General features: G+C 52.2%; 1 protein-coding gene across 10 annotated transcripts in view, besides 3 other annotated features; it reads left to right on the forward strand.

Annotated features, from left to right (window-relative positions):
- Positions 1 to 27,380, forward strand: part of SLC26A11 (solute carrier family 26 member 11) — a 33,074-nt gene that overhangs the window by 3,703 nt on the left and 1,991 nt on the right. For 8 of the 10 annotated variants that reach the window (XM_047435806.1, XM_006721833.3, NM_001166347.2 and 5 more), the window contains 12 exons: positions 1,708 to 1,787; positions 3,689 to 3,831; positions 12,799 to 12,974; positions 13,393 to 13,465; positions 17,642 to 17,692; positions 21,067 to 21,127; positions 22,025 to 22,080; positions 22,380 to 22,520; positions 24,001 to 24,128; positions 24,446 to 24,545; positions 25,025 to 25,158; positions 27,200 to 27,272. In XM_047435806.1, coding sequence (XP_047291762.1) covers positions 1,708 to 1,787; positions 3,689 to 3,831; positions 12,799 to 12,974; positions 13,393 to 13,465; positions 17,642 to 17,692; positions 21,067 to 21,127; positions 22,025 to 22,080; positions 22,380 to 22,520; positions 24,001 to 24,128; positions 24,446 to 24,545; positions 25,025 to 25,158; positions 27,200 to 27,272 — 1,216 coding nt within the window. The remainder of the gene's footprint in view (positions 1 to 1,707; positions 1,788 to 3,688; positions 3,832 to 12,798; positions 12,975 to 13,392; positions 13,466 to 17,641; positions 17,693 to 21,066; positions 21,128 to 22,024; positions 22,081 to 22,379; positions 22,521 to 24,000; positions 24,129 to 24,445; positions 24,546 to 25,024; positions 25,159 to 27,199; positions 27,273 to 27,380) is intronic. The other 2 variants (XM_047435808.1, XM_047435807.1) reach the window with 1 other exon arrangement.
- Positions 2,177 to 2,678: an enhancer, noted in NCBI's record as "H3K4me1 hESC enhancer chr17:78200105-78200606 (GRCh37/hg19 assembly coordinates)". NCBI's record gives its function as "activates a minimal SCP1, AML or CMV promoter by ChIP-STARR-seq in naive H9 embryonic stem cells {active_cell/tissue: H9 hESC(naive)}" and the evidence as "EXISTENCE:reporter gene assay evidence [ECO:0000049][PMID:30033119]".
- Positions 11,921 to 12,710: an enhancer, noted in NCBI's record as "H3K4me1 hESC enhancer chr17:78209849-78210638 (GRCh37/hg19 assembly coordinates)". NCBI's record gives its function as "activates a minimal SCP1, AML or CMV promoter by ChIP-STARR-seq in naive H9 embryonic stem cells {active_cell/tissue: H9 hESC(naive)}" and the evidence as "EXISTENCE:reporter gene assay evidence [ECO:0000049][PMID:30033119]".
- Positions 12,711 to 13,498: an enhancer, noted in NCBI's record as "H3K4me1 hESC enhancer chr17:78210639-78211426 (GRCh37/hg19 assembly coordinates)". NCBI's record gives its function as "activates a minimal SCP1, AML or CMV promoter by ChIP-STARR-seq in naive H9 embryonic stem cells {active_cell/tissue: H9 hESC(naive)}" and the evidence as "EXISTENCE:reporter gene assay evidence [ECO:0000049][PMID:30033119]".

Consider the following 27,380-nt stretch of genomic DNA (forward strand, 5'->3'; position numbering starts at 1 on the left):
TTCCCTGATGGAGGTACCATGAGAAGACCAAGGACAGGAGAGTGTGTGTGAGAGTGTGTATGAGTGTGTGTGAGTGTGTGAATGAGTGAGTGTGTGAGAGTGTGAGTGGGTTTGAGGGAGTGTGTGAGTGTGTGCGTGTGTGAGTGAGTGCGTGTGTGAGTGAGTGTGCGTGTGTGTGTGAGAGAGTGTGAGTGTGTATGAGTGAGAGTGTGAGAGTGGGTGTGGGTGTGAGGGAGTGTGAGTGCGCGCGCGCGTGTGTGAGTGTATGAGTGTGAGAGTGAGTGTGAGTGAGTGAGAGTGGGTGTGGGTGTGAGAGTGTGAGTGTGAGAGTGTGAGTGTGTGAGTGTGAGAATAAAGTAGACACTTTTTGCACTCTTGCTACGTGCGAGGCACTGGGCAGGACACTCTCCATGTGTAATTCTCAACACACCCCGGGAGGTAGATTTATCATTATTTCCATTTGAGAGAGGAGGGACCAACTTAGGTGTGGGTGAGCGTGATTTGTACGTTATCTACACGCATCTCTCAGGGTTAGCTTGGCAAATGCTGTTTCAGGGCATGGTTGGTTCTTTAATCTGGAAACATCATTTTTGGTGTCAAGAATGTTCTTTTGTAGGATCCCAGTGAGAGTGGAGAGCGGAGAGTGGAGAGTGGAAGGCATCCCTTGTTCATGCCTTCATACTTGGCAACCCTAGCCCCGCCCAGGGACTCTGCAGCCATCTGGGGGGAGGGGCGTCCTCCTGACAGGCCCAGGACAGAAGACCCTACCCCAACAGTCCCAGAGTCCGCCCCCCAGGATGTCCTAACCCCACCCACCCTGTGCGCAGCAGTTTTAGGGCAGGGTCCTTGAGCCTGTGGCCATGGGATCCAGGGCCTCAACTTTCCCCTCTGACTCCTGTTGGGTCTCAGGCGATGTAAAGAACTAAAGTGCAAGCTGTGCCTGCACTGTGGATCCCAGCTACGTGGGAGGCCGAGGTGGGAGGATCACTGGAGCCCAGGAGTTCGAATCCAGCCTGGGCCACAGAGCAAGCAAGACCCCCACCCCCCAACCCCCCGCCGCTCTCTAAAGAAAAAAAAACTAAACTAAAACACAGGATAGAGTGCCTTCTCCTGCCCAGGACCTCAGAGCTGGTATCGTGGTGGGAGGCTCCTACTTTGCCGAGGATTCCCCAAGCTGGTTTCTTGAAGCCCCTCAGAGCCCTCCACATCTGCACACTACGAAGAGATTTTTCCTCCCGCAGCAGCGGAGCTGGGGGGTGGCGGGGCACCTAGTGAGGGAGACATTCTCAAGCCAATGGCAGCAAGGGTCTACACTGCAGGGGGCCTGGCTGCTGAGTGGCCTGGAGCCAATGGGGGTGGGGCCAGGCAGCCCATGGCCCCTGGCCATCAAGCTGTAGAACCTGTCTGCCTGCTGTGGGGTCACCTACATTGTTTTTTATGAGAAAAGTAATTTAGAGAAAAACATATCACTGACCCAGTAATTGTGAAGTACTGTCTCCCACGAGGGTAGCTTTGATCTCCTGCCCTAGGGGGCGTTGGGAGTGGGCAGGTGGACCCCTGAGCCCCTAAGATGGGCCCCGGGAATAAGGGTTGGGAGCAGGGCCGGGGGACACTGTCTCAGCCCTAGGGGAGGTGGGCGGGGAGCTGGGGACAGATGGCCTTGGTTTGGGAGCATAGCCTCTGATCAGCATCTCTGTGTTTGGACAGAACCTGCTGGGACTACAGAACATCCCCAGGCCGTTCTTCCTGCAGGTGTACCACACCTTCCTCAGGATTGCAGAGACCAGGTACCCCGGGCTTTGTTCCTCCCTCCTATAAGGAAGCTCCTTCTTCCACACCTCCTCTCCCGGCCCCCACCTCAGTTTCCCCACCCCTGGTGACTGCTCAAACAGGGGTCCCCAGAGCAGCCCCATCAGCAGCACCTGCAAGCTGGCAAGAAATGAGACTCTCAGTCCTTTGCAGACCTGCCCTATCAGAGCCACAGTTTTAACAGGAGGCCGGTGGTCTGCGCGCAGGGGAGAGTTCAAGAAGCTCTGCTCTGGGGAGCTGGAGCAGGGCAATGTTCCTCTCTCCACAAAGCTTTCTTGGGGGACAGGAATGGGGAGAGTCTGTGTAAAGAAAAAGAAGGCAGTGTGTCTCCCCCAGGCTGTGATTTGTTAAGGAGGAGAACACAGGGCGTGGGGAGCTAACCCAGACAGAACGCAGGTGGTGCAGGGACGGCAGGTGGAGCTGTGATGAGAGATGAGGCGACCCAAGCACTTCCCTCAGGTGGTTTAAAGAGCCTCTGATGGCCGGACACTGTGGCTCACACCTGTAATCCCAGCACTTTGGGAAGCCCAGGTGGGCAGATCATCTTAGGTCAGGAGTTCAAGACCAGCCTGGTCAACATGGTGAAACTCCGTCTCTACTAAAAATACAAAAATTAGTCGGGTGTGATGGTGCGTGCCTGTAGTCCCAGCTGTTCAGGAGGCTGAGGCAGGAGGATTGCTTGAACCTGTGAGGCGGAGGTTGCAGTGAGCTGAGATCACGCCACTGCACTCCAGCCCGGGTGATAGAGTGAGACTCCATCTCCGCCCTGCCCTGCCCCCCCGAAAAGAAAAGCCTCTGATGAGGGGTACCTCCCTGCCAGACCATCCAGCGGGAAGGCAGGATGCCTCTCTACCTCTCTGGCTGGAAGGGGCTGGAGGAGGAAATGATCTAGGGGAGCTATAGAGATGGCTGCCCAGTGCTGTGGCCTGGAGGGAGTGGGGGCGATCCTGGACCATCTTCCCCTCCCCTCTGATCTGCTGCCGAAGCTTCCCAGCAGCTGAACCCAGCTGGAAGCCAGTGGGTTCTTTGCTCTTCAGAGGCACCAGTGGGCAGGGGTCGGCCAGATGGGGGAGCAGTGATTACGGAGCCTGACCAGTCAGAGAGCGTCACGGGCTGTCATGTAAAAGGGGCCTTACTGACCGTTTAGTCCTAAGCCTTCTAGAATGTCTAGAGCAGGGTGTCCAGTCTTTTGTCTTCCCTGGGCCACACAGGAAGAATTGTCTTAAAATACACTAATGATAGCTGATGAGCTACAAAAAAATCATTGAAAGAACTCATAATGTTTTAAGAAAGTTTACAAATTTGTGTTGGGCCACATTCAAAGCCATCCCAGGCTGCACATGGCCCACAGGCTGTGGGTTTGGCAGACTTGTTCTAGAGCCACCTGCAGAGAGCATCAGCTGCTCAGGCTGGTCCCCATTCCCTGTGGTCACTCACCAGATCCTGTTCCATAGACTTGAGTCCCAGAGAGCTACGGGAGTGAAAATGTGAGCACGTCGCTCTGCCATCATCATGACCCGGGCCTCTCCACTGCCTGTCCTGCCCAAGCCTGTGTACTTACTGAATTTTGAATTGAGTTTTGAAGTAGAACAGGGATGCATATTGCTTAGGAGAAAACATCTCAGCCTAGTCTGTGTTTGGTCTTGCAGAGTAGCTTGCTAAAGTTCCTGAGCTTTAGTTAAGTGTCTGTGAAATGGTGAAAATATTGAAAATGCTTTATTTCCTTGTGATACTCACTGTGGTCTGGGACCAGCAGCCTGGGCATTGGGCCTCCCTGGGAGCTTCTTAGTGCCTCTCAGCTTAAGCAGCAGCAGGATGCTTGAGTCAGCAGTAGGCCTGGGCCGAGCTGGGTGGTGACCAGTCCTCTGCCTGTCCACAGGGTAGGTGACGCCGTCCTGGGGCTGGTCTGCATGCTGCTGCTGCTGGTGCTGAAGCTGATGCGGGACCACGTGCCTCCCGTCCACCCCGAGATGCCCCCTGGTGTGCGGCTCAGCCGTGGGCTGGTCTGGGCTGCCACGACAGGTGAGGGGCCTCTGGCTGACATCTTATGCAACCTTGGCTGCAGGTTGGGGTCACTTGGGGAGTCCTAGTCCCACCCTAGGGATTCTCACGTCATTGGTCTGGGTGTCACTTGAGCATTGGGACATTTAAAACACCACACCAAACTCTGGGACATGTACTTTTTATTTAATTAATTAATTAATTATTTTTTGAGACAGAGTTTCGCTCTGTCGCCCAGGCTGGAGTACAGTGGTGTGATATTGGCTCACTGCAACCTCCGCCTCCCAGGTTCATGTGATTCTCCTGCCTCAGCCTCCTGAGTAGCTGGGATTACAGGCGCATGCCACCACGCTCGACTGATTTTTGTATTTATAGTAGAGACGGGGTTTCACCATGTTGACCATACTGGTCTCAAACTCCTGACCTCGAGTGATCTGCCTGCCTCGGCCTCCCGAAGTGCTGGGATTACAGGCATGAGCCACCGCCCCGACCCAAACTCTAGAACATTTAAAACTCTGAGCCAAACTCGGTGGGTTCTGATGCAGGGTCAGAGCTGAGAACTGATGCATGGCCAGCTGTGGCCGTTCTCAACCTGAAGCAGTTTTGCCCCCTGGTGACACGTGGCAATGTTGGGAAACATTTTTGGTGGATACCACCGGGCGAGGCAGTTGCTGGCAACTAGCGAGGAGGGGCCAGGAATGCCACTAAGCCCCTGACGGCGCACAGCCTTCCACAGCAAACAGTGATCCGGCCCAAAATGTCGGCGGTGCCGAGGTGGAGAAACACAGTCTACTGGCAGGTCCTGGGGAGACAGAACAAATTCCGGGGAGACCAACAGGCTCTGTTTGAATTGTGCAGCTTTATGGGGGTACAACTTCAGCTTCAGGCGCGGAGGCTGCAGGCTGAGCCACAACCAACCAGGGGTCCTTTGAGAAAGGGGTGGTGAGGGCTGCGTCGTGGAGGAGCAGGGCTGTCAGCAGGTGAAGGACCACCCTGGGGGAGGTGGAAGCCTCTTCTCAGTGCATCCGGGATGGGCATGGGTCCCCTGGCTGAGCACCGGGCAGGGATGCCCAGAGAAGAAGGCACACCCAGGAAAGTCAGGAAGCATAGGTGACTCCAAACCTTCTCAGAGCCGAGGGGACAGATTAAGCTCAGAATAACCCGAGCTTGGTCTTGCTGTTTGGGGGCTGCAAAATCCAACAGCCACAGAAGAGAGAGGGTGGCTGGATTTAGCTCTTGAGTCACTTCTGCCTGCCCAGGCTGGTCTGTTCTCTGTGGTCTCTCCCTGGATCCTGTTCAGCAGACTTGAGGCCGTGGTGAACACTGAGAGTCTGGTGGGGTGCAGAGGATGCTGGGTTTAGAGTGGAGATGTCCAGCTTCCAGTCCCAGCCTGGCCTGGGTTTAGACTTGCAAAGTAGCTTCCAAAGTTCCTGAGCTTTAGTTCAGTTGTCCGTGAAATAGTGAAAATGCTTTGTTATCTTTGTTATCTTTTGTTTTTTGGTTTTTTTTGGAGACGGTGTCTCACTCTGTTGCCCAGGCTGGAGTGCACTGGCGTGATCTTGGCTCACTGCAACCTGCCTCCTGGTTTCAAGCAATTATCCCGCCTCAGCCTCGCGAGTAGCTGGGATTACAGGCGTGCACCACCACACCTGGCTAATTTTTGTATTTTGAGTAGAGATGGGGTTTCACCATGTTGGCCAGGCTGGTCTCGAACTCCTGACCTCAAGTGATCCGCCCGCCTCAGCCTCCCAAAGTGCTGAGATTATAGGCGTGAGCCACTGCGCCTGGCCTATGCCTTGTTATCTTAAACCTTGAGACTCAGAGTGTGGCCTGGGACCAGCAGCCTGGGCACTGGGCATCTCCTGGGAGCTTACTGGAAAGGCAGGATCTCAGGCCCCACCCCAGATCTCCGAATCAGGATCTGTATTCTTCAGGGCACGCCCAGGGGATTCATGGGGTCAGCTTAGAAGTCAAAGTTTGGAAGCCGGGCATGGTGGCTCACGCCTGTAATCCCAGCACTTTGGGAGGCCGAGGGAGGCAGATCACCTGAGGTCAGGAGTTTGAAACCAGCTTGGCCAAACCCCGTCTCTACTAAAAATACAAAAATTAGCTGGGTGTGGTGGTGTGTGCCTGTGATCCCAGCTACTTGGGAGGCTGAGGCAGGAGAATCACTTGAACCCGGGAGGCGGAGGTTATAGTGAGCCAAGACTGCACCACTGCACTCCAGCCTGGCAACAGAGCGAGACTCCTTCTCAAAAAAAAAAAAAAAAAAAGTCAAAGTTTGGGAAATGCTTAGAGACCCCATGTTTTTCAGAGACTTGTTTTGTATGACTTTATGAGATGATCAGGCAGGTGTGGCCACAAGGGGAGACAGCGAAAGGCTCAGGAAGAAAACCAGTTTATTATACTCACAGGTCCTAGAGACAGGAGGCACAGCATGCCACGTAGGGCCATGTCAGAGGACACCAGGGTGGCCAGGAGGAGAAGCCAAAGCTGTGGTTTAGGCCACAGCCTTTATCGAGATTTTCTTGATAAAGGCAAGGTGAAGAAAGGCGACCAGCTTAGGACTTGCAGTTGGAGGAATTTTGGTGGGTTTCAGGCTTAAGGCAGAAAAATCTTGCCTCCTGGGGTGCAGGCCAGGCTGGTGGAGGAAGGATGGCTCCAGAGGGGTTAGCTGGCATATCAGAGACACACTTGGGGCTGCTTTTTTCTCTAGTACTTGCCTAACCCTGAAGGCAGTGTCTCCGCAGCCAGAAAGGTCTTTTAAGATGTCTAGACATCGTAATGTACAGAAACTTCAGAAACATTTACAGTGTAGGGCTGCTGACTCCTTTCTCCCCAGTGTGTGTAGCATTGTCTTAGGAAACTACTTAAAAAGCTTTTGATTCTTATAACAGCTTTGAGAATGAGTTTATTATTTTTTCCATTTTGTCAGTGAGGAAAGTGAGCCTATGAAAGATGAAAAATAAAACAGAACTTCTCAAGGCCACACGACTGGGAAGAGGCAGAACAAGGACTTCACCCGAGTCGTCTGTCTTTTTTTCTGAATGGTCTGTCTAGAAGTGTGTCAATGTTATGATCCTCTCAAAGAACCACCTTTGGTTTCATTGATCTCCCTTTTGCTTTGGTTTTCTAGTTCATTGATTTCTGCTTGGGCCTTTATTATTTCCTTTCTTCTATTTATTTTCAGTTAACTTTATCCTTTTTTTTTTTTTTTTTCAAAAAAAATTTTTTTTTTTTGAGACGGAGTTTCGCTCTTGTCCCCCAGGTTGGAGTGCAATGGTGTGATCTCAGCTCACTGCAACCTCCGCCTCCCGGGTTCAAGTGATTCTCCTGCCTCAGCCTCCCAAGTAGCTGGGATTACAGGCGTATGCCACCATGCCTGGCTAATTTTTTGTATTTTTAGTGGAGACGGGGTTTCACCATGTTGGCCAGGCTGGTCTCGAACTCCTGAACTCAGGTGATCCACCCGCCTCAGCCTCCCAAAGTGCTGGGATTACAGGCGTGAGCCACTGTGCCCGGCCTTTTTTTTCAGATTCTTAAGGTGGAAGCCTGGATCTTTGATTTGAGACCTTTCTTCTTTTCTAATATGGTTGTTTAAATGCTGTAAATTTCACTCCTAGCATTACTTTAGCTGCATCCCACAGTTTTTATATATATGCTGTTCTTTAATTTTTATTCGGTTCTAAATACTTTGTGATTTCCATTTTGACTTCTCCTTTGACCTGTGGATTATTTAGAAGTGGATTATATGATTTCTTCTGTGAACCATGGGAGTTATTTAGTTTCCAAATAGTTGGGGGTTTCCCAATTAGTACTTTGCCATTGATTTCTAATTTAGTTCCATTGTGATAAGAAAACGTACTTAGTGATTTAAATCTGTTTTCCTTTATTGAGAGTTGTATTATGGCCCTGAATATGGTCTATCTTAGTGAATATTCTGTGTGTGCTTGAGAACATGTTTTCTGCCATTATTGGGTGGAATGTTCTGTAAATGTCAGTTAGGTCTGGTTGGTTATCTCAGGCTACTATATTCTTGCTGATTTTCTTTCTACTTGTTCTGTTGATTATTAAAAGAAGAATGTTGAAATAACTTCAGCTATAACCATGACTTTGTCTATTTTCCTTTCTTACTTACCAGTTATTGTTTCATATATTTTGAAGCTCTGTTTTTTAGTATAAAAACATATAGAATTATAATTTTCTCTTGGAATGATACTTTTTTTTCTGGGCAATATTCTCTTCCCTGAAATCTACTTTGATACTAAGAGAGCTACTCCAGCTTTCATTAGTGTTAGCATATCTTTTCCCATCTTTTTACTTTTTTTTTTTTGAGACAGAATCTCTCTCTGTTGCCCAGGCTGGAGTGCAATGGCGTGATCTTGGCTCACTGCAACCTCCACCTCCCAGGTTCAAGCAATTGTTGTGCCTCAGCCTCCCAAGTAGCTGGAATTACAGGCTTGCACCACCAAGCCCAGCTAATTTTTGTGTTTTTAGTAGCAATGAGGTTTCACCATGTTGGCCAGCCTGGTCTCAAATTCTTGGCCTCAAGTGATCCACCTGCCTTGGCCTCCCAAAGTGCTGGGACACCACACCCAGCCTCCTATCTTTTTACTTTTAACGTATTTAATTGATTTGTGTTCTTGTGTTTAATGGTATGTTTTATGGGCAGCATATAGATGGGATTTGTTTTTAATCTCATAATCTCTGCCTTTTAATTGGAATCTTATGCCATTTATATTTAATGTGATTATTGGTCTGTTTGACTTTAGATCTACCATGTTGCTGTTTGTTTCCTGTTTGTCTCATTTGTTCTTTGTTCCCTTTTCCCCCTCCTTCTACCTCTATTGGATTATTTTTTATGATTCCATTTTACATCCTTTATTGGCTGATTAGCTGTAACGGCTATATTTAGTTTTTGTTTGTTTGTTTCTAAGTGACTGCTTTAAGGTTTGTGGTAAACATCTTTATCTTGCTACAGTATACATTAAACTTCAACTTCATGTGATATAAGAACCTTATAACAGGCCAGGCGCAGTGGCTCACACCTATAATCCTAGCACTTTGGGAGGCTGAGGGAGGCAGATTGTCTGAGCTCAGGAGTCTAAGACCAGCCTGGGCAACATGGCGAAACCCCATCTCTACCAAAAATACAAAAAATTAGCCAGGCATGGTGGTGCATGCCTGTAATCCCAGCTACTGGGGAGGCTGAGGTGGGAGGATTGCTTGAACCTGGAAGGCAGAGATTGCAGTGAGCCAAGATCCGTCACTGAAGCTGCAAACTCCTGGGCTCAAGTAATTCTCCTGCCTCAGCCTCCTGAGTAGCTTGGTCTACAGGCATGCACCACCACATCTGGCTAATTTTTTAAATTTTTTTATAGAAACGGGCTATGTTGCTCAGGCTGATCAAAGGTTCTTGGCCTCAAGTGATGCTCCTGCCTCAGCCAACCAAAGTGCTGAGATTGCAGATGTGAGCCACCATTCCCTGCAGGAACAGTCTTAGATTTATCCACGTAGTCACTGTTTCTGGTGCTCTTAATTCCTTTGTACAAATCCAGATTTCCATCTGGTATAATTTTCCTTCTACCTGAAGGATGTTATTTTTTCTTCTGTTGCAGGCCTGTTGGTGATTAACTCTTTCAGCATTTTTTTTTTTTTATTTGACAGGATTCACTCTGTCACTCAGGCTGGAATGCAGTGGTACAATTATAGTTCACTGCAGCCTTGAACTCCTAGACCCAAGCAATCCTCAGCCTCCTGAGTGGCTGGGACTATAGGCATGCATCACCACGCCTGGATAATTTTTTATTTTTACTTTTTGTAGAGATGGTGTCTTCCTACGTTGCCCAGGCTGGTCTCTTACTCCTGGGCTCAAGGGATCCTCCCACTTTGGCTTCCCAAATGTTGGGATTACAGGTGTGAGCCACTACTCCTGGTCTTCTTTCAACTTTCGACTTTTGTATGTCTGAAAGTCTATTTTGCCTTCATTTTTCAAAGATAGTTTTGCTGGTTATAGAATTCTAGACTTTTTTTTTTCTTTCAGTACTTTTTAAAAAAAAGTTATTTATTATTTTTTTTATTTTGAGACAGTGTCTCGCTGTGTCACCCAGGCTGGAGTGCAGTGGCACGATCTTGGCTCACTGCAATCTCTGCCTCCTGGGTTCAAGTGATTCTCCTGTCTCAGCCTCCCAGGTAGATGGAATTACAGGCGCATGCTACCACGCCCGGCTAATTTTTGTACTTTTAGCAGAGATGGGGTTTTGCCATGTTGGCCAGGCTGCTTTCGAACTCCTGACCTCAGGTGATCCGCCCTCCTTGGCCTCCCAAAGTGCTAGGATTACAGGCGTGAGCCACTTTGCCTGGCCTCAGGACTTTAAAGATGCTATTCTGCTGTCTTCTGGCCCACTTCGTTTCAAGAAGTGTGCTGTCATTCTTTGTTCCTCTGTATGTAACCTTTTTATCCACTGCTTTTAAAATATTCTTTATCACTGGTTTTAGGCAGTTTCATAATGTGGCTTGATGTAGTGTTTTTTTGTTTGTTTGTTTTTTGTTTTCTGTGTTTATGCTTGTGATTCATTGAACTTCTTAGACATGTGGGTTTGCAGTTTCATCAAATTTGGAAAATAAACACCCATCTTTTCGTGAAATCTTTGTACTGTCCCCCTATGCGATTCCACAGACTTTCTTTGCAGAATCCCCTGTCTGTATTTCAGGCACCTCGAAGGTGTTCCCACAGCTCACTTGGGATTTTCAGCCTTCTCCTTTGTGTGTTTCATTTTGGATAGTTTCTGCTGCTACATTTTAGTCTTTTTTTTCTGTAATGTCTCAGCTGTTGTAATTGCACCAAGTGCTTGTTCCGTCTCAGACACTGTGGTTTTCATTTCTAGAAATCCAGTTTGAATCTTTTTTTTTCTTTTTTTTTTTTTTTAAGATGGAGTTTCGCTCTGTTGTCCAGGCTGGAGTGCAATGGCGCGGTCTTGGCTCACTGTAACCTCTGCCTCCCGGCTTCAAGTGGTTTTCCTGCCTCAGCCTCCCAGGTAGCTGGGATTATAGGCATCCACCACCATGCCCAGCTAATTTTTGTATTTTTAGTAAAGACAGAGCTTCACTGTGTTGGCTGGGCCAGTCTCGAATTCCTGACTTCAGGTGATTCAGCTGCCTCGGCCTCCCAAAGTGCTGGGATTACAGGCGTGAGCTACCGTGCCCAGCCTCAATTTGAATCTTTTAAAATGTATTTTCTACATCTTTACTTAACAGTTGCAATCTTTCCTCTGTTTTTTTTTTAAGTATATGGAATTTGGTTACAGTTATTCTTTTAATGTCCTATTAACTAAATTACATTTGGTTACAGTTACTCTTTTAATGTCCTGTTAATTCTGTCATCTTTAACTATGTTACTTTTGGGTCTTTTTTTTATTTTTTATTTTTATTTTTTGAGACAGGGTCTCACTGTGTCACCCAGGCTAGAGTACAGTGGCATGATCATGGTTCACTATAGCCTCAACCTCCCAGGCTCAAGTTATCATCTCACCTCAGCCCCCCAAGTAGCTGGGACTATAGGCATATGCCACCATGCTCAACTAATTTTTTATTTTTTGTGGAGACAGTGTCTCACTAATTTGCTCAGGCTGGCCTCAAACTTCTGGGCTCAAGCAGTCCTCCTGTCTTGGCTTCCCAAAGTGTTGGGATTACAGGCATGGGCCACTGCACCCAGCCATATTTTCCTGCTTCTTTGCATGCCTAGTAATTTTTGTTTGGATGGATGCTAGACTTTGTGAGTTTGAGGTTATTGCGTGCTGGATATTTTTGTATTCTATAAATCTTCTTGAGCTTTGTTCTGGGATACAGTTAAGTTACTTAGGACAGTTCGATCCATTTAGGTCTTACTTTTAAGCTTTGTGAGCTGGACCAGAGCAGTGTTCATTCTAGGGCAAGCCTAATTTGGCCCACCACTTGATTTTGTAAATAAAGTTTTATTGGAAAATCACTCCCATTCATTTACATGGTCAATGTCAGGTTTTATGCAATAATAACAGACTTGAGTAGTTGCGCCAGAGACTTTATGGCCCACAAAGCAAAAAGTTTTTAGTATTTAGCCCTTTACAGAAAACATTTGCCAACCCCAGGCCTTGGGCTAATCTTCCCCACTGCTGAGGTAAAACCCTCTGGAGTCCCTGATGCTCCATGAATTATGAGGGTTTTTTACTCTGGTGTGAATCCTTGGGATTGTCCCTTGTAACCCTCTTTGTGACTCTTCCCCACTGTGGGTTTGGGTCATTTTCGCCCAGCTTTGCCTCGACCAGTTCTCTGCTGCACATCCGAGGGCACCTCTGCAGATCTCTGCAGCTCTGTCTCCGGCTGCCCTCTCTGCTCCTGTGACCTTGCGGTCAGCTCCAGCTGCAGGCCTCCTCAGACTTCCTCCCAGCATTGCCCCCTGAACTCAGGGAAACCCCTGGGCTCTGCTAGGGGGTCCCCTCCATACACATGGGGACCATCGGGGAAACCGTAGGCAGCCGGCGGGGCAGTGATAGACTCACCTCCCTTGTTTCCCTGTGGCCGTCATGGCTGCTGTCCCGCGTCTTAGTGGCCATCATGTCCACTGTCCCGCATCTTGGAGGCCATTGTTTCTGTTGTTTGGGAAAGGGGGTAAATCTGGTTTCTTCCTCCTTTGTGCTTTGAGGTGGATGTGCCCTGGGCCACCTGATTTCAGAGAGTCTTTGCCGCGGTGCACGATGTCCAGTCACCTGGAGCTTGGCAGCAGGTGGCATGTGCACCTGTCCGCAGCCTGCAGCTCTGCCGTCCCACCTGCTTATGCTGCCACATAGCATTTATGTCTGTGTTGTGTTTCCCAGAGTGCAGAGTGAGGACTGTGGCCCGGTGGGGGCGTCTCCTGCCTCTGGGATGTCTGCCCCAGTAACCTGGAGGCAGCCGCGCTACCCCACACTCGCCGGGAGCAGGGTCTCGGACGCACCTCTCCTTCTCTCCTAGCTCGCAACGCCCTGGTGGTCTCCTTCGCAGCCCTGGTTGCGTACTCCTTCGAGGTGACTGGATACCAGCCTTTCATCCTAACAGGGGAGACAGCTGAGGGGCTCCCTCCAGTCCGGATCCCGCCCTTCTCAGTGACCACAGCCAACGGGACGATCTCCTTCACCGAGATGGTGCAGGTGGGCGGAGCCGGGAGGCAGGATGGCGTGGCTGAGGCTGCGGTGGCCCCTGGCCTGGCTCCTACCCTGATGTATCTGCTGGGTGCCAGGGGGTCTGAGGTCAGTTAGGACAGCTGAGTCCTCAGGAACGGACATCTCAGTTATTAAAGAATCCCAGGTTGGATGCAAACTCAGCGAGCTCAGGGATGTCACGTTTGTGTTCAGGGGCGCTTCTCCTGTTTTGGACTCCAGCTGAGGATGAATTTACCGTGTTCCTCCCAGCACCTGGCGCCTCTTCAGACAAGGAGGCGGATCCTGCAGCTGACAAGCACTTGCTCCTGTTACCTGTGGGGCGGGGTGGGTCCTTGCTGCTTTCATGGGTCACTGCTGGGTCCTACCCCTTAGGAAGGTCACTCACCATCCCTCTCTCCTCTCTCAGGACATGGGAGCCGGGCTGGCCGTGGTGCCCCTGATGGGCCTCCTGGAGAGCATTGCGGTGGCCAAAGCCTTCGGTAAGACGCCTGTCACCCACACCCCAGGTCTCCCAGTGCGCCGGCTGGGCTAGGCCTGCCTGCTTTCTAGCTTGCCTTTATCCGTTACTAGTTTTAGAAATTTGAATTCATATCCAAGTAATACATGCTCATGATAGATACATATGTATTGTGTATATATGATAAAACTGGATCTATAATGAGGCATGCCCTCCCACCCCATGGTGTGCTGGTGAGTGTTGTAACAGCCTCTGCTGTTTGTGGAAATAAAAGGTTTTGCTTCGTGGCCCTTGCCGATGTCCACGGTGTAAACGCTGCTGTCTGATTTTAAGGTAACGTCACTGAAAGGGGAGTTTGCACATGGAGCTGGGTTGAGATCTGCATGAACAATCATATTCTATGGTGTCTCCACCATGTAGATACAGTGGGTGCAAATAACCTCATCAGTAGTAGCCAAATGCCAAATAAATTAGGAAGTGATGAGTTTTAAGTATTATCTTTGGGCCAGGCATGGTGGCCCAGGCCTGTAATCCCAACACTTTGGGAGGCTGAGACGGGAGGATCACTTGAGCTCAGGAGTTTGAAACCCACCTAGGCAACGTAACGAGACCTCGTTTCTATTAAAAATAAAAATTAGCTGGGCATGGAGCACACCTGTGGTACCAGCTTCTCAGAAGGCTGAGGCAGGAGGATCACTTGAGCCCGGGAGGTCGAGGTGGCATTGAGCTGTGATAGTGCCACTGCACTCCAGCCTGGGCAGCAGAACAAGATCCTGTATTATCTGTTTAATTGAAAGTTTTAATTTAATTGGTAATAATGGCTATGTTTAGTAACAGGCTCACAAAACTCCTAAACATTGAGCAACATGCTTTATTCAGCTGGCTCAGCCCATCGGCCAGCCCCTCCTCGCCCCCAGGGAGGCAGGGAACCCTTCGTCTCCTTCAGTGTCTGTTTTGAGTCAGCATCTCTAGATTCCCTCCTTGCAGCTCCGTCCTTCACTCGCTCCACTCCTGCCAGCTTTGTATTGTCTGTGCGGATGACACCTTCGTTCTGTCTTGTCACCGTCATTTAGTCCTTCTTGCGTTTGGGTTTATGTTGATTCTAAAGGTTACAGCCCAGTTACCAGTGTATGTTACTGTGACTGTGTAAATCGTGTTTACTGCCTAGCCCAGGCTGTGCCAGGGTAAAGTTCCTTCTCCAAAGTCCCAGTGCTCTAACCCTTACCCCCTTCAAAGGAGTTTTTTTTGTTTTTTGTTTTTTTTTTTTTTTGGAGACAGAGTCTCACTCTGTGGCCCAGGCTGGAGTGCAGTGGCACGATCTCTGCTCACTGCAACCTCCGCTTCCCAGGTTTAAGCAATTCTCATGCCTCAGTCTCCCAGGTAGCTGGGAATACAGGCATGCGCCACCACGCCCAACTAATATTCTATACTTTTAGTAGAGACAGGGTCTCACTATGTTGGCCAGGCTGGTCTCAAGTGATCTGCCCACCTGGGCCTCCCAGTAATTTTTTTTTTTTTTTTTTTTGAGATAGTGTTTCACTCTTGTTGCCCATGCTGGGTGCAATGGTGTGATCTTGGCTCACCGCAACCTCCGCCCCCCAGGTTCCAGCAATTATCCTGCCTCAGCCTCCCAAGTAGCTGGGATTACGGGTGCGCACCAACATGCCTGGCTAATTTTGTATTTTTAGTAGAGATGGGGTTTCTCCATGTTGATCATACTGGTCTCAAACTCCTGACCTCAGGTAATCCGCCCACCTCAGCCTCCCAAAGTGCTGGGATTACAGGTGTGAGCCACCATGCTCAGCCCTCCAGTAATTTCTTTTTTTTTTTTTTTCGAGACGGAGTCTCGCTCTGTCGCCCAGGCTGGAGTGCAGTGGCGTGATCTCGGCTCACTGCAAGCTCCGCCTCCTGGGTTCACGCCATTCTCCTGCCTCAGCCTCCCGAGTAGCTGGGACTACAGGCGTCCGCCACCACGCCCAGCTAATTTTTTGTATTTTTAGTAGAGACGGGGTTTCACCGTGGTCTCGATCTCCTGACCTCGTGATCTGCCTGCCTTAGCCTCTCAAAGTGCTGGGATTACAGGCGTGAGCCACTGTGCCCGGCCGTAATTTTTTAATTGTAGAGACAAGGTCTCACTTTGTGGCCCAGGCTGACCTCAAACTCCTGAGTTCAAGTGATCCTCCTGCCTCGGCTTTCAAAAGTGCTAGGATTACAGGCCTGAGCCATCGTGCCCGGCCAGTTTTTACATTTCTGAATGGTTGGAAAAAGTCCAAATAATAATAATATTTTGTGACATGTGAAAAGTATATGAAATCCAGATCTCATGTTTACAAATAAAGTCAGTTGGAGCGTGGCTGTGCCACTTGGGGATGTGCTGTCCGTGGCTGCTTTCGTGGCACCACAGCAGAGTTGCGTAGCTGCAGCAGTGACTGCAGGGCCCACAAAGCCTAAAATATCGACAAGTTGGTCCCTTACAGAAAAGCTGGCCCTTTATAGAAAAGCTTGCCAACCTCAGCTGGGTGCGGTGGCACACGCCTGTAGTCCCAGCACTTTGGGAGGCCGAGGCGGGTGGATCACAAGGTCAGGAGATGGAGACCATCCTGGCTAACACAGTGAAACCCCGTCTCTACTAAAAATACAAAAAATTAGCCAGGCGTGGTGGCGGGCGCCTGTAGTCCCAGCTCCTCGGGAGGCTGAGGCAGGAGAATGGCGTGAACCCGGGAGGCGGAGCTTGCAGTGAGCCAAGATCGCGCCACTGTACTCCAGCCTGGGCGACAGAGCAAGACTCCGTCTCAAAAAAAAAAGTTTGCCAACCTCTGTCTTAGATCCATGCTCCTGTGCCTTCCCCTAAAACCTTCGCCTGCTCACCTCTCTGAGATGGCCCGTCTTAGACTTTCCAGTCATCTCAACTGGTCATAAAGAGGTTTCCAGTTTAAAATGTTTTTCTCGGCCGGGTGCAGTGGCTCACGTCTGTAATCCCAGCACTTTGGGAGGCCAAGGTGGGCGGATCACCTGAGGTCAGGAGTTCGACACAAGCCTGACCAACATGGTGAAACCCCGTCTCTACTAAAAATGCAAAAATTAGCTGTGCGTGGTGGCATGCCCCTGTAGTCCCAGCTACTCAGGAGGCTAAGGCAGGAGAATCTCTTGAACCCGGGAGGCAGAGGTTGCGGTGAGCCAAGATCACTCCACTGCACTCCAGCCTGGGTGACAGAGCAAGACTCCATCTAACAAAATGAAAATAATAAAATAAAATGGTTTTCTTATTATAAAAAGCATTGTAATCCCAACACGTTGGGAGGCCTAGGCAGGAGGATTGCTTGAGCTTAGGAGTTTGAAACCCACTTAGGCAACTTAACAAGACCTCATTTCTATTGAAAATAAAATTAGCCGGGCATGGACCACACCTGTGGTACCAGCTGCTCAGGAGCCTAAGGCAGGAGGATCACTTGAGCCCAGGAGGTCAAGGTGGCATTGAGCTGTGATAGTGCCACTGCACTCCAGCCTGGGTGGCAGAACAAGATCCTGTACTATCTGTTTAATTGAAAGTTTTAATTTAATTGGTAATAATGGCTGTGTTTATTAATATACATTCATTGTAGAAAATGTCAAGAGTGCAGAAACGAGTAAAGAAGAGACAAATCACCCATAATCCCTTTTACTACCACAATTAACTACTGCTTACATGTTTTCTTGTTGTTGTTTGAGACAGGGTCTCACTCTGTCGCCCAGACTGGAGTGCGGTGGCACGATCTCATCTCACTGCAGCCTCAACCTCCTAGGCTCAAACCATCCTCCCGCCTCAGCGTCCTGAATATCTGGGACTATAGGCACACACCACCATGCTTGGCTAATTTTTGTATTTTTTGTAGAGATGAGATTTTGCCATGTTGCCCAGGCTGGTCTCGAACTCCTGGGCTCAAGCGATCCTCCTGCCTTGGCCTCTAAAAGTGCTGCGATTATAGCTGTGAGCCACCATACCTGGCCTGATTACATGGTACTGTACCTCTTTCCACTCTGTGATACATTCAAGCACATGTTTACACGCACATATATGTGAATATTTTAGATGTGTATTCTTAGATTTACAAAACTTATTGCCGTGTGTAGAAATTCATAATCTGTGTTACATTTTGTGAATACTTTTTGAGCGATGTTGAATATTACTGACCAGGTCTTTACCGTTGGTTCCCTTTAGCATCTCAGAATAATTACCGCATCGATGCCAACCAGGAGCTGCTGGCCATCGGTAAGACCCCAGCCGCGGGAAGGAAGACACCAGCTGTGGGCCTCCAGGGTCCCAGGCCTGCCCCTCTGTGTCTCCTGCATTGTAGGAAGACCATGATGGTGGTGATGAACTGGGAGGGCAAAGGTGGCCCCAGATGGGATCTTCTGGAATATTTAGTTTTGTTTTGGGTTTTTGAGATGGAGTCTCACTCTGTTGCCCAGGCAGGAGTGCAGTGGCACGATCTTGGCTCACTACAACCTCTGCCTCCTGGGTTCAAGTGATTCTCCTGCCTCAGCCTCCCAAGTAGCTGGGATTAAAGGCATATGCCACCATGCATGGCTAATTTTTGTGTTTTTAGTAGAGACAGGGTTTCACCATGTTGGCCAGGCTGGTCTCGAACTCCCGACCTCAGGTGATCTGCCTGCCTCGGCCTCCCAAAGTGCTGAGGTTACAGGCATGAGCTACTGCGCCTGGCTCTTCCAGAATATTAACAAGGACTCATTCCCAGACCTCCACACTGCTCAGTTTAACCCCTAAGAACAAGGAGCTGACATCTGTTGTCTGTTCTACCACTTATTGAGCACCTGCTGTGTACCTGACCCTGAGGTCTGTGGCCTTGGTCTAGATCCAGGAACACCTGGAATGTCCCACCTCGGGGAGGGAGCACCTAGTGCCGGGGGTCAAGAGGGGAAGGCTGTGGCCGGGGGAATCGAGAGGAGTCTTCTGATTGTGCCCGCACCCTGCCCTGTGCCTCCCTCCAGGCAGGGGCAGGTGGATTCATGAAGACTCGGGGGCCCCAAGTTGCCTGCCTGTGGATGGGGGTCATGCCCGCTTTCACGGTTTAGTTCCCTTTTGTTACGTCTCTGCGGGCTGACTTCTTAGTGGTATATTTCGAGACCACAGTGTGAATCTTTTTGTGTGTGTGAGAGACTGAATCTTGCTTTGTCACCCAGGCTAGAGTGCAGTGGTACAATCTCGGCTCACTGCAACCTCTGCCTTCTGGGTTCATCCGATTCTCCTGCCTCAGCCTCCCGAGTAGCTGAGACTACAGGCGTGTGCCACCACGCCTGGCTACTTTTTGTATTTTTAGTAGAGACGGGGTTTCACCATATTGATCAGGCTGGTCTCAAACTCCTGACCTCGTGATCCGCCTGCCTTGGCCTCCCAAAGTGCTGGGATTACAGGCGTGAGCCACCGCGCCTGGCCCAGTGTGAATCTTAAATTCAGTTATCATAACTAAATGGTGGGTCCCAGGCCTTCCTGCCTTTCCTTCTCGCCCCTCATGAGACTGGTGCAGGATAACCCAGGAAGCACCATGGGCTTCTTCCCAAGGGGTGTCCACCCTGACAATTTCACGAGAGCCATTTGGCTTCTTGACAGCAAAGTGAGTGACCCAGGTTGGGTCACAAAGGGACGTTGCCCGGGCTTCTCTCTGAGCCATGGAGAGCGGGGCATTGTCCAGTTGAGTGGCGGAGCTTGGGCTTCCTGGGAATCACGCACTTTCAGGCTGAGAAAATCCACGGCCTCCTCAAAGACCCCACCAGTAAATCTTCCAAATGTGATTTCCCAGAGCATCCCATTCCCATTACTTTACTTATTATTATTATTATTATTTGAGACGGAATCTTCCTCTGTCGCCCAGGCTGGAGTGCAGTGGCACGGTCTCGGCTTTCTGCAACCTCCGTCTCCTGGGTTCAAGCGATTCTCCTGCCTCAGCCTCCTGAGTAGCTGGGATTGCAGGCACCTGCCCCTGAGCCTGGCTGATTTTTGTATTTTTAGTAGGACGAGGTTTTGCCATGTTGGCCAGGCGGGTCTCAAGCTGCTGACCTCTGGTGATCCGCCCGCGTTGGCCTCCCAAAGTGCTAGGATTACAGGCCTGAGCCACAGCCCCTGGCCCTATTCCCATTACTTTAAAAATACCACAGATCTATTCTGACAGCACCCTGAGTTCCAGGGATACAACACAGACCGAGCGAAGGTCAAGGTTACTATGGCAGCCATGGGATTCCTTGATCTCAGATAGGCCAGGTAGGCCTCAGCAGCCGCACAGCAAGAAGCTGGCTGACGTGAGCCCATGAAGGCCAGGCTGGGAGGGGTTGCGCTGGTCAGCTTCGGCTCACAGAGTTGGGTCCCCAGCCCAAGCTGCTGTAGAATGAGGATGATCCCCTGCAGCCTGTGGTCACCTTGGGCCTCTACCGAGCCCTCCCACGCCTGTATTTCCTTGCCCTAGCCCATCTCTCTCAGGGCCGTGAGCTGGGCCATGTCACCCGGGATGCCCTGATACTGAGTTGGCCCCAGGCCGAGCCGCCTTGAGAGCAGGCCCTGCACCTGTGAGACCTGAGACCCCACTGTGGGTCTTAGCGAGCAGGAGGGATTCTGGTCTTAGTGATGCCCCAGGTGAGACAGATGCTGGTGGGAGCGTGGGTCAACCTGAGCAGTGATCCCCGTTCTTGGGCCCCAGCAATGCTGTGGGCGTGGGCTTTGTCTGTTGTAGGCAGCCGGCATCACCTGGGGAGGCAGCATACTGGCCATGACCTTGGCCTCACTGTGGCTGTCATCTCGTGAGACGGAAAGGAACTGGGTGGAGAACGGTGGGCAGCCACTGACCTCCCGAGTACCTAGGGTTTGTCTTACGGGCACTTTATCTCAGCTCTCACCCCCTCCTGGGTGGTGAGATGCTCCCCTCTGTTCTGCGTGGGGAAGGCGTGTCCTGGTCACACAGGAGAGGCTGGGTGAGAAGTGTTTGAAAGCTAGGATCTTGCCAGGCATGGTGGCTCACTCCTGTGATCCCAGCACTTTGGGAGGCTGAGGCGGATGGGTCACCTGAGGTCAGGCATTTGAGACCAGCCTGGCCAGCATGGCAAAACCCTGTCTCTACTAAAAATAGAAAAATTAACTGGGTGTGGTGGCACATGCCTGTAGTCCCAGCACTTTGGGAGGTCGAAGCGGGTGGATCACTGAGGTCAGGAGTTTGAGACCAGCCTGGCCAACATGGCAAAACTCTGTCTGTACTAAAAATACAGAAATTAGCCAGGCGTGGTAGTGTGTGCCTGTAATCCCAGCTACTCAGGAGGCTGAGGCAGGAGAATCGCTTGAACTGGGAGGCGGAGGCTGCAGTGAGCTGAGATCGCGCCACTGCATTCCAGCCTGGGCAACAAAGCCAGACTCTGTCTCAAAAAAAAAAAAAAAAAAAAAAAGGCTAGGCTTTACGTCTGCAAGAATGTGGCCTGTTTTCTTCCTTCCCTGAAGGAGTGCGTAGGCCCAGGCCCCCAGGATGATTCTCCCGAGCCCTGCCTTCCTGCCTCCCTTCTGGGTTTTTGTCCCCCTCCCCATCTCCTTTCCCTCCATCCTGTGTGCCTTCCCTCCACGATCAGCCTGTCTTGCCTCCTCCCCAGGTCTCACCAACATGTTGGGCTCCCTCGTCTCCTCCTACCCGGTCACAGGCAGCTTTGGACGGTGAGTGACCTGTCCGCCTCTTCTGTTTGCCCACGTTGGACGCCCTAACGTTGTTACGCTGACAAGGAGTCTGCCTGCCCTGACCCCGGCGCCCCGTCCTCCACTGTGAACGCTCCGTGGAGAGGCAGGGCTGGGGGTCACCCACTGTCCTCCAGGGTGTTCTCTGTTTCTTTATTCTCATAGATCGTCCTGCAGTTTCATACTAGAAAGTTCCACTGGGCATTGTGGTACACCCTTGTTATCCCATTTACTCTGGAGGCGGAAGCAGGAGAATCGCTTGAGCCCAGCAGGATGAGGCTGCAGTGAGTTGTGACCGCACCGCTGCACTCCAGCCTGGGCAACAGAGCGAGACCCTGTCTCTAAAATAAATACTAGAAAGTTCCCAGCACGCCAAAGCCCTCCTAGCTCCTGGTGCCAGAGTCAATTCCTGAAAGGACGTGGAGATAGGAAGGGCCTCGGCTCTGTCCTGAAGCAGCCGGGCATGAAGCTTAGCCCAGATGCCCTACGGCCCCTCCTCAGTCAGGACAACAGGATGGAGGTGACCTGTGGCTTAAAGGAGAGAAGGAGGCGTCACCTGGCACTGCCCAGTCCCCCAGCTGGTGACCCTTGCCCTGCTGGGTATGGGGGCCCCACCTGGATGGGGGCAGGAGACAGAGTCGGCAGGAACCTGAAAGGACACGTGCTTCCTGAGCTTCTTCCTATAGTCAGGGTGGCCCAAGCGCGGCTGTCTGTGACTGCACCCTAAGTCTCTTTGCCTCGGTCCCCTTGCAGTCCCCGCCTGCTTCCCAAGCCGTGCTGGGAGCTGACGTCCCCTCGGAAGATCAGCCACAGGAGTGTGGACTGAGGTCTCCCTTTTCCCGGCCCCTGGTGACTGACGGTCTCTGTGTTGCCTTCCAGGACAGCCGTGAACGCTCAGTCGGGGGTGTGCACCCCGGCGGGGGGCCTGGTGACGGGTAAGGCCCCCCATCTTCCCCTTGTGCCCGCAGCCCTGAGAGTGGGAGAAAGGGAGGAGGGGGCCCACAGAGACGTCCCTTTGGCTCATGGGCCGTGCGCCCCGGGACTGCACAGGGACTTGGGGGGCCACACAGGAGTAGGGGGACCACAGGAGACTGAGCAGGGGCTGGGGGCCTTGGCAGTCGTCGCCCTACCCCCACCCCTGTCCCCAGTGGGCTCTGCTGAACAAGAGGCTGCTACGCTGCGTGCTGGGGGGACCCTGCACTCCCGAGGTCACCTGTGTTCCCGTGCCCCGCAGGAGTGCTGGTGCTGCTGTCTCTGGACTACCTGACCTCACTGTTCTACTACATCCCCAAGTCTGCCCTGGCTGCCGTCATCATCATGGCCGTGGCCCCGCTGTTCGACACCAAGATCTTCAGGACGCTCTGGCGTGTTAAGAGTACGTCCTTGTCCTACAGGGGAGAGCGCTGTGATGCGGTGTCTGAACGCGGAGGGTGTCATTTATGCTACCCCATTTTCCTGCAGCCCCCTCTGTGGGGCTGGGACTGGGAAGTTAGGGCAGTCCCGGAACAGAGAAGTGGATGGCCAGGAGATGGCCCCAGAGATGGTCCCGAGGCTCAGTGGGAAGAGCTGGAGCTCCTTGTCCTGACACCTGGGGTCTTGAGGCGAGCACTGACCCGGGGGAGGGTCCCCTCCTGATCCCCCTGCCCCCATCCCTACCCTCCTTGCCACCCGCCTCCAGCCACCACTCTGCCCGGCCCAGCTGGGGGAGGGACAGGAGACGTCCCTGGTGACCAGCAGGGCCAGCGGAACAGCCTTGCACCCTGGCTCAGAATGGCAGTTCCTTTTTTTTTTTTTATTATTATTTTTATTTTTTTTTATTGATCATTCTTGGGTGTTTCTTGCAGAGGGGGATTTGGCAGGGTCATAGGACAATATGGGGTTGGGGGTAAGGTCACAGATAACAGGATCCCAAGGCAGAGGAATTTTTCTTAGTGCAGAACAAAATGAAAAGTCTCCCATGTCTACTTCTTTCTACACAGACACGGCAACCATCCGATTTCTCAATCTTTTCCCCACCTTTCCCCCCTTTCTATTCCACAAAACCGCCATTGTCATCATGGCGCGTTCTCAATGAGCTGTTGGGTACACCTCCCAGACGGGGTGGTGGCCGGGCAGAGGGGCTCCTCACTTCCCAGTAGGGGCGGCCGGGCAGAGGCGCCCCTCACCTCCCGGACGGGAGCAGTTCCTTTAACTTAACACATTTTGTTTTGTTTGTGGAAGAAGCATGGAGTGGGTTCACCTAGCTTACTTGGCATTTTCTGGTTAGCCCCAGCAAGTTGCCAGGTGAAAGGATGGATAATTTTCTTGCATGCCCGTCGCATGCCAGGGCCTTTCGCGTGCCAGTGCGCTGGGGCTTTAGAACAGCCCTGAAACGTGTTCATGTGCCGGCGTGGAATGGGATGGCCGCTGCTGCTAGAAACCAAGGCTCAGCCAGGGTGGGGCAGGCCTGACCTATGCGTGCGGTGGAATCCCCCACAGGGCTAAGCCCGTGCACTTTGTCCCCAGGGCACCTTCTCCTTGGCCAGGTCTCAAGGGCTCACGTGGTCCCTGCCCCACTCCTCAGGCCAGCTCTGTGCCCTGACAAGCCCCTGCTGCTGCCCTCCCTGAGGTTGGAGGCCAGGGACCGGCCGGCAGGTCTCACCTGCGCTCAGCTCAGATGGGGAGGGCATTTCTTTCTTTCGACTTGAAGCATGGCCTGGTCAGCAGCTGCTGTCCCCAAGTCCTCAGGGGCTGCTTGGGGTCCATGAGCACCTTTACTCATATGTGGGGGGCAGAAAGCTGTCCCGCTGGTCAGCAGGGCCATGTTGGGGCCTCGGGCAGCTGCCGGGCATTCCTCAGCTGTGCCCTTCTCCTAGGGCTGGACCTGCTGCCCCTGTGCGTGACCTTCCTGCTGTGCTTCTGGGAGGTGCAGTACGGCATCCTGGCCGGGGCCCTGGTGTCTCTGCTCATGCTCCTGCACTCTGCAGCCAGGCCTGAGACCAAGGTACCCCTCCGTGGCCTCTGAGTGGGGAGTGTGCTGGGGGCAGGATTCCTGGGCATGGTCTTATGTTTTGAGGGTCCGGGGTGATTGTGGTCGTGGGTGCTGCTGAAGGGGACCGCTCGCTGGCAGGTGGGCAGTCACCTTGCTATAAACCATGGTGTTCTCCCACTGTGTGGGGGCCATGGGGGTCTCCCCTTAGCACCCCTCTCCCGGTCCCCTGCAGCACACTAGGTTGGGTGGGGGCTTCCCGCTTGGGACAGGCCAAGCCTGGTGGAGGCCACCCGGTCAGACCCGCCTCCAGGACTCACTCCTCCCCACAGGTGTCAGAGGGGCCGGTTCTGGTCCTGCAGCCGGCCAGCGGCCTGTCCTTCCCTGCCATGGAGGCTCTGCGGGAGGAGATCCTAAGCCGGGCCCTGGAAGGTGCATGGGCGGGGGTCAAGGTGGTCTGAGGTCACTCCCCTGTCCTCTGCCCCCCACTCCCTGCTGTTCAGGACCCCAAGACCCTGTCCCCAACGCTCTCCAGTCCACAAGGATGCAGGCATCTCTGAGTGGGCTGGACCGTCCTCTGTGGGCCTCAGCCAGTGGCTGCTGCAGCAAGGGTGGTGGCCCCCCACATATCACTCCTTCCCTGCCCCTAAAGTCCGGTTCCTGTTTCTGGGGGGTTGATTTTAGGGGAGCTAAGGGCCTGTGAGTCCTAGGAGGGAAACAGCTGCTGCTGTCACCAAACAATTGTCTCTGGTCCTGCCACCCGAATCCCCCAACTGGGCGACTCAGCCGCCACGAGATGGAGCACTCTGGCCTCTCTGTCCCCTGCCCCTGGCCAGAGCCTCCTTTGGCCTCTGCAGAGCAGCTTTGGGCTGCTCTGGGTGGCGTGACCTGGCTCGGGCCTGTCTCCCCAGTGTCCCCGCCACGCTGCCTGGTCCTGGAGTGCACCCATGTCTGCAGCATCGACTACACTGTGGTGCTGGGACTCGGCGAGCTCCTCCAGGACTTCCAGAAGCAGGGCGTCGCCCTGGCCTTTGTGGGCCTGCAGGTGGGTGTGCACTGGGCTGCCTTAGGGGTTAGCAGCTGCCGGAAGGCCTTCCTGTGCCTGCCTCCCATGGCGAATGTGACATCTCTGGGCTGTGATGCTGGACGGCCCTTCGGCCGGTGCTGGCTCTGCTTCTGATTTAAACAGTTCTTGTTCCCATCTGGCCTTCCTCGTCCCTCCCTGTGGAAGGGGGAGCGGTGGCCCCCAGCCCTCCGAGGGGTCACGTTATGGCTTCTGGTCACTGCCACACTGTCCTTTGTGCTGGGGACACACAGTGAACGAGGGTCAGTCCCTGCTCTCAGGGGAATTGTATTTTAGGAAACAAAAAGAGACAGGTGAGGCTAGGCGTGGTGGCACACTCCTGGAATCCCAGCACTTTGGGAGGCCAAGGCGGGCAGATCACCTGAGGTCAGGAGTTCAAGACCAGCCTGGCCAACATGGTGAAACCCCGTCTCTACTAAAAATACAAAAAAAAACTAGTCAGGTGTGGTGGCGAGCGCCTGTAATTCCAGCTACATGGGAGGCTGGGAGAATCGCTTGAACCTGGGAGGTGGAGGTTGCAGTAAGCCGAGATCCCACTACTGTACTCCAGCCTGGGCGACAGAGTGGGACTCCATCTCAAAAACAAACAAACGAAAAAAAACAGGTGCTCATAGAATTTCATGAAAAACGTATTGTCAGGGCTTCCAGAGGCTGAAGACGGGTTTCTATGGAGGCCGTCCTGTTCAGAGCCACAGGTAAAGTGTAAGGGCTGGGTCCCAGGCCCTGCGTCTTAGGCCTCACCTAGGAGCCTTCTGAGCACTGCAGGGTCAACATCCCAGGGGTGTGGCCAGTGTTTGCAGAGAGGCAGGGGTCTCTGTTGCTGTGGTTAAATGTGCGCTCTCTGCCAAGTCCTAGATGGCAGAACGTGGGGGACTAGGGCGTGTCCCCAGGCGCCCAGAGGAGACATTCATGAACTAGCCATGGAACAGGAGGCCAAGTGACCCGTATACCCCAGGTGTGGACCACAGCCGACCCTTGTCAGAGTTTCCTTCATTCCCAACCTGGCCCACGAGGCTAGTGTTATCTTCATCCCCATGTCCAGAAGAGGTCACTGAGGCCCAGAGAAGCCAGGTAATCTGCCCACGGTCACACAGGATGGTGGGCCCGGCTTCAGATTTGGGCATGTGCCTTCAGAACTTCGCTCATAAGTGTTACGTCCTGTGTCATATTTGCAGAGCACATGTCTTCATGGTCTTTGGAGATGATTCACTTAAAAAAATACTCCTCTGACCCAGACATGGTGGCTCACACCTGTAATCCCAGCACTTTGAGAGGCCGAGGCGGGAGGTCAAGGGTTTGAGACCAGCCTGGCCAACATAGTGAAACTCCGTCTCTACTAAAAATACAAAAATTAGACGGGCATGGTGGCGCACGCCTGTAATCCCAGCTGCTCAGGGGGCTGAGGCAGGAGAATCGCTTGAACCCGGGAGGCAGAGGTTGCAGTGAGCCGAGATCGCGCCATTGCACTCCAGCCTGGGTAACAAGAGTGAAACTCCATCTCAAAAACAAACAAACAAACAAAAAGTCCTCTGGGCCAGGCGCTGTGGCTCACACCTGTAATCCCAGCACTTTGGGAGGCCGAGGTAGGAGGATCATTTGAGGCCAGGAGTTTGAGACCAGCCTGGGCAACATGACGAAACCCCATCAAAAAAATAGGAAAAAATAGCTGGACGTGGTGGCGTGCACCTGTAGCTACTCAGGAGGCTGAGGTGGGAGGATCACTTGAGTCTGGGAGGTTGAGGCTGCAGTGAGCCATGATCGTGCCACTGCACTCCAGCCTGAGCAATGAGCAAGACCCTGTCTCAAAAAACAAAAAATTAAAAAAAAAAAAATCTTCCTCTGACAGCATTCCCCTGGGGCTGCGTTTCTTCTCACCATTCACTGGTATGGAGGTGAAGCCATACCTCTCCGGGAGACTCTGAGATGGCAGGTCTACCAGGCTGCCGACCCGTGTGCTACAGAGGAACATCCCTGCCCTGGCTAAAGTCTGTCTGTCTCTCAGGTCCCCGTTCTCCGTGTCCTGCTGTCCGCTGACCTGAAGGGGTTCCAGTACTTCTCTACCCTGGAAGAAGCAGGTGGGCACAGTCAGACATCCTGTGGCTTTGGTGATTTTGTAAAAATCATAAATGCTTATTGTAAAAAATATGGGAAACCAGCTGGGCACAGTGGCTCATGCCTGTAAT

Source organism: Homo sapiens, chromosome 17 (assembly GCF_000001405.40).
Source record: "Homo sapiens chromosome 17, GRCh38.p14 Primary Assembly".
In the NCBI taxonomy this organism is placed as follows: domain Eukaryota; kingdom Metazoa; phylum Chordata; class Mammalia; order Primates; family Hominidae; genus Homo; species Homo sapiens.